General features: G+C 43.0%; 1 long non-coding RNA gene across 2 annotated transcripts; it reads right to left on the reverse strand.

Moving 5' to 3' along the window:
* Positions 1–1,910: 1,910 nt before the first annotated feature.
* Positions 1,911–4,432, reverse strand: LOC101930129 (uncharacterized). Of its 2 annotated transcripts, none has more exons than XR_001748086.3 (2): positions 2,301–4,432; positions 1,911–2,204 (listed from the first exon to the last, which is right to left on the reverse strand). It is a non-coding gene; the product is annotated as an uncharacterized LOC101930129 (long non-coding RNA). The 2 variants fall into 2 exon arrangements; XR_001748087.3 differs by having other exon boundaries at positions 1,911–2,207.
* Between the last annotated feature and the right edge of the window lie 1,711 nt (positions 4,433–6,143).

Below are 6,143 nucleotides of genomic sequence, written 5' to 3' on the forward strand. Positions count from 1 at the left end.
CAGTGAGCCGAGATCGTGCCACTGCACTCCAGCATGGGGGACGGAGCAAGGCTCTGTCAAAAAAAAAAAAAAAACAGAAAAAGAAAAAGAAAAAAGAATTAGAGGCATCTGGATCAAATCAGCTGCCAGTCTCGCAAAGTGTCGGGTAACATCCTATTAAGCTTGCTGCTTACACATCATCTATAAAATACTGAAAATATCATTTTAAGAAATCTTTTTTTTATTTTGAGACAGAGTTTTGCTCGTTGCCCAGGCTGGAGTGCAATGGTGCGATCTCAGCTCACTGCAATCTCTGCCCCCTGGGTTCAAGCAATTCTCCTTCCTCAGCCTCCTGAGTAGCTGGGATTACAGGCATGCACCACCACGCCTGGCTAATTTTGTATTTTCAGTTGAGACAGGGTTTCTCCATATTGGTCAGGCTGGTCTCGAACTCCTGACCTCAGGTGATCCACTGACCTTGGCCTCCCAAAGTGCTGGGATTACAGGTGTGAGCCACCATGCCTAGCCAAGAAACCCTTATTTTAAAACAAGCCAGGCGTGGTGGCTCATGCCTATAATCCCAGCACTTTGGGAAGCCAAGGCAGGTGGATCACTTGACGTCAGTAGTTTGAGACCAGCCCGGGCAACATGTTGTAACCCCATCTCTACTAAAAATATATTTTAAAAATTAGCTGGGCATGGTGGTGGGCACCTGTAATCCCAGCTTCTCAGGAGGCTGAGGCAGGAGAACCACTTGAACCTGGGAGGTGGAGGTTGCAGTGAGCGGAGATCACGCCACTGCACTCTAGCCTGGGTGACAATAGAAAGACTCCATCTCAAAAACAAAACAAAACAAAACAAAACAAAAAACCACTAAAAAAAAGACTCCATTTCAAAAACAAAACTAAAACCAAAAACACAACACAAATGTAGTACACAAATGAAAATAATTACTGTGTTAAACACAGTTTCATAGAAAATAAAAGACCAATCAAATACAATAAGCTGCCTTTTTAGATGGGTATGTTATTCTTCTTTCACAGCTAAAGAAACAGGCTCAGAGAATGTTATTTGATTGGACCGTGTTGCATTTCTGGACAGTGCAGCTGAGATCAGACTTTGTGTGTAACTCCACTAGCCTACCAGGGTGCCTCTCATAAAGGTAAGAAATGTAAATTTGGCCTAATATACAAAGTTGCCAGGGCAGCACTGGGTCAATTCTACATACAGTACTTCTATGTTCATCAAGGGAAACCTTAAGGGAAAGTGAAAATGCTTCTAGAAGGCGACTGGACACCAGCGCCTTTGCTTGTTGCCTTTGGGCTCTTCTTCTAAGGCCAACAGTGACCTGAAATTATTGACTGGCTTTTCCAATCAAGTGGACAAAATGGTACCAAGGTCGCCAACATCGATGTAGAACATCGATGTTCTACAACATTGCTTAACGCAAGGGGAGACGCTCCTGACTCAGAGTGTTTAATTGCTCACCTACTTCTTTTTCTGCCCTCTTGGGCTTCTGAAATGAAAAGAACCCTGGGGTGATACAGTGAGTCAAAGGGGTGCCAGCCGCATCACAGCAAAATAGATTCCTAAAAAATCCCTGGCCTAAGATGACAGCCTTGGCTGGATCAGTTTGAATGTGCTGATAGTGGACATGGTAGAATGAAGGTGGTTGAAATGTTCATATTAAAGAACTTCCACCCAGATTGCAAGAAAAGAGAGAAGAATGGAGACGGCAGCACAAGCCCCTACAATAAAAGCAGATGTTTTGAGATCAGTTATATTTCTTCTGACAAAAATTAAAGACAGAAACCAAAGTTTAGCCTGAGACTACAATTAATTGGGCAATAAGCCAGAGGCACATATGGCATAAGACAGATTTAAACATTTCTCCCTGATATTAATACAAACACTAAAATTACAAATACATGGATTCCAAATAAAACAAATATTTAAAAAATTTAATGAATAAACACTGGGGTCTACAGTAGTATTTGAAGGAGATCTCACAAACAGGTTTGGTTTTTGAAGGTTAGAACTGGTGGTCTAGAGAATTCATTTCATTCCAGAGAAAGAAAGAGAGGAATTTCTTGGGTTCCTTCAGGAATGCGTCTAGCTTTGCCTCATCTTTGTTTGAACTATGGATACGGCAGAAGAAAACATAAGGATTTCACAGATTTAAGGTGCAAAAAGTCACTGGGTTCTCTAAGAAGTCTGGGATTCTTCTGCTGGAAAAATAAGTTTGTTGAGAAAAAATGAGTTGGAGGAGGCTGTTATTGAAGTGAAGCAGAATTGTTTTTACTAATCTGCTTATTACCCACTCTGTAGTGTGGAAACAAATTATTCATGCACAAGGTCCTCTTACTGTTCCTAGAATGCAGTGGAAAGAGAACAGATTAGTTTTCCTCCCTCAGAACACAACCCCTAGAAACATCCTACCTCAGATGAGATATTGCCTAATTATTTTCAAAAGACAGTGAAACATCATGGATGTAAATGTTTGCTACAAAATAAATACATGCTAGAAACAGAAGCATCTGGGTCACAGCTATATTAGAGCTACCTGTGTTCCCCTGTCACTGACATTAAAACAAAAATGTCCAATACAATCATTCACAGCGTGGGAGAGGGGAAGTTGAAGGATGGAAAGGCCAGGCATAAAAGGATTTCAGAATTTCCGTCCATAAGGAAGTGGCTTTGTGCACTGTCTGTTACTGCGTGCAAGGTGAAATTTGAAGAATGAAAACGTGCAGTAACAAGGGCTCCTTTGTCCAACTCACCTCTCCAGATACCAACTTTCAGACATGTTGCATTTTAATTGAAAGGTTGATATAATTTTTTTTAAAGAACACTTGCGGTGTTTGAAGTGACAAAGGCTGCTGTGACAAAAAAGCAGGGAAAGGGAATTTTTTTTTTAAAAGCAAACAACAACAACAAAAACCCCACAGAAAAGCAAACAACAAACAAACAAAAAACAGAGGAAGAAGTTGAACACCCCGGGCTGTGACTACTTCCAGGAAGGGGCTACAAGAGGCAGTTGGAAATTCTATTTGTTTTGCAACTGTGGGTTTTCCGGCCTGCTTCCTTTCTAAAGTATATTACTCTGCTTTTGGTTCATGAAGTTATCCATTTCTGTTTTCTGGAACAGCTATGTATTTTCTTTATCTATCATCTATCTATCTATTTACCATCTATCTTTTCTACCTTTCGCTATCAAGAGCTTGTGTCAAGCAGGATAGAATTCCAGTGTATGTTCACTCTACCGTTTAAAACAAGAGCTCTTGTGGGCATTCTCCATCACATCATAAACCTGAGCTTTCTAAAACAGAGTGTGGCAAACTACCATGCATGGACCATGTCTGACACAGTCTGCGTTTGTAAGTAAAGTTGTAATGGGACACAGCCAATACATGTGTTACATAATGTCTCTGGCTACTTTCATGGTATAATGGAAGAGCTGAGTCATTGAGAGAGAGACCATATGGCTTGGAAAACTTAAAATATTTAACATTTAGCCCCTTGCAGAAAATACTTGCTGACTCTTGTTTTAAAAGATCTCTGTTTAGAATGCTACCTATTGCGTTCTGGATAGAATCACAACTCTTTACCACAATTGACACAGCTTCAGCCCTGCTTCTATATCCAGCCTCATCTATTTCTGCTCCTCCTCCTTATTTTCCTTCTGGCCATGCTGATGGATTGTCAGCTTCCCAGATGTGCAAGAATCTCTCCTCCCTTCCCAACATTCTCATGCTCTCCCTCTGCCTCTCAAGAACTTCCTGCCCCATCTCTCATGACAAATCCTTTCTACATTCTTTAAGATGCAGCCCCTTTGCTCCTTCCTTAAGGATGTCTGTCTGGCTCTATTTTGGGTGACGTGCTCCTTCTGCATCTCCCAGAGCCAGCCTGTGTGTGTCAGCTACAACATTTCTTTGCATCTCTGTGTCATATATCACCAAATCTGCCTAAGCTTGCATGAGTCACTGCATGACAACTTCAGACTCCACCAGCATTGTCCCCACTAACCACAAGGCTTAGACATTCGTCCAGTATGCTCGGGGTTGTGGGGTGGTAGCAGTAACCAGCTGGTGACCATCATTTCTTACATCAGAATCAAATCTGTAGATCTCTGCCATTCGTAAGTATTTGGAGTTTAAAATTAGCATAAAGATTTTCCTTAAAATAAGAACAAATGGCTTGAGTAGGCTTTTGGAACACAGGATGTTTCCACTGGTTCATTTCTGTGTTCAATATTCCCACATGAATCTAAACACGACTCTGCTCTTAGTAGCTATGTGACCCTGGGAAAGTCACTCAATCTCCCGCAGCTAAATTTTGTTGTGTGAGTAATGAGGAGTTGTGATTTGTATTTAGAGAATAATAACAAACAAAAGGCATTTAGCTTTCTGGAACCTGGTATGTAGTAGAACCTCATGAAATACTAGCTCTGTTGATAAAACTAGACTGAAAGACGCTTTCAAAGTCAACAACAGTTTGAGGCAGTGAAGGACGTAGAGGAGAAGCTGCTGCTGCAGCCTGTAGCTCCTGGAAGCCGGTTTAGTCCATGATTTAGCAGGAATGCATTACCCTTCCATGAGGAGGCACTGCCCACAGAAACCAAGGCCATTCTTTGAAGACAAACATGTCTTAATAGCCTTTACATTATGTAATAGTGTAATACAAATACTAATTTATTATTAGTAATAATGTGAAATTATTTACAGTACCCTAACCCTAACCCCTAATCCTAACCCTAACCCCTAACCCCTAATCCTAACCCAAACCCTAACCCTAACCCAACCCTAACCCTAACCCTAAACCTAACCCTACCCTAACCCTAACCCTAACCCTACTCCTAACCCTAACCCCTAACCCCTAATCCTAACCCAAACCCTAACCCTAACCCAACCCTAACCCTAACCCAACCCTAACCCTAGCCCCTAATCCTAACCCTAACCCCTAACACTAACCCTAACCCTAACGCTAACGCTAACCCTAACCCTAACCCTAATCCTAACCCTAACCCTAACCCTAACCCTAACCCTAGCCCCTAATCCTAACCCTAACCCCTAACCCCTAATCCTAACCCAAACCCTAACCCTAACCCAACCCTAACCCTAACCCAACCCTAACCCTAGCCCCTAATCCTAACCCTAACCCCTAACCCCTAACACTAACCCTAACCCTAACGCTAACCCTAACCCTAACCCTAACCCTAACCCTAACCCAACCCTAACCCTAGCCCCTAATCCTAACCCTAACCCCTAACCCCTAACACTAACCCTAACCCTAACGCTAACGCTAACCCTAACCCTAACCCTAACCCTAACCCCTAATCCTAACCCTAAAACCCTAACCCTAAAACCCTAACCCTAACCCTTACCCTAATCCTAACCCTAATCCTTACCCTTACCCTTACCCTGACCCTAACCCTAACCCTAACCCTTAACCCCTAACCCCTAACCCTAACCCTTAACCCGAACCATAACCCTAAAACGCTAACCCTAACCCTCACCCTCACCCCTCACCCCTCACCCAAACCATAATCCCTAACCCCTAACTCTTAACCCCTAACCCTAACCCTTGACCCTAACCCTTGACCCAAACCCCTAACCCTGACCCTTAACCCTTAACCCTAACCCTAACCACTAACCCTAACCCTTAACCTTCATCCTCACCCTCACCCTCACCCCTAACCCTAACCCCTAAGCCCTAACCCAAACCCAAACCCTAAACCCTAACACTAAACCCAACCAGAACCCTAACCTGAACCCTAACCCGAACCATAAACCTGAACCCTAAACCCGAACCCGAACCCGAACCCTAACCATAACCCGAACCCAAACCCTAACCCCTAACCCCTAACCCTAACCCTACCCTAACCCAACCCTAACCCAACCCTAACTCTAGCCCTAGCCCTAGCCCTAAGCCCTAAGCCCTAAGCCTAACCCCAACCCCAACCCCAACCCTAACCCTAACCCTAACCCTTCCTCAGCCTCTCAACCTGCTTGGGTTATAGGTATGAGCCTGGGTGCCTGGCCAAACATTCCATTTTATATGTATATGCTAGGAATGAATAATCTCTACACCAAATTATGAAAATTCTACCTTAAACAATACCAATAGCAATATTATACTTAGGAATAAATGGAATGAAACGACAA

This window comes from Homo sapiens, chromosome 11 (assembly GCF_000001405.40).
Source record: "Homo sapiens chromosome 11, GRCh38.p14 Primary Assembly".
Taxonomy (NCBI): domain Eukaryota; kingdom Metazoa; phylum Chordata; class Mammalia; order Primates; family Hominidae; genus Homo; species Homo sapiens.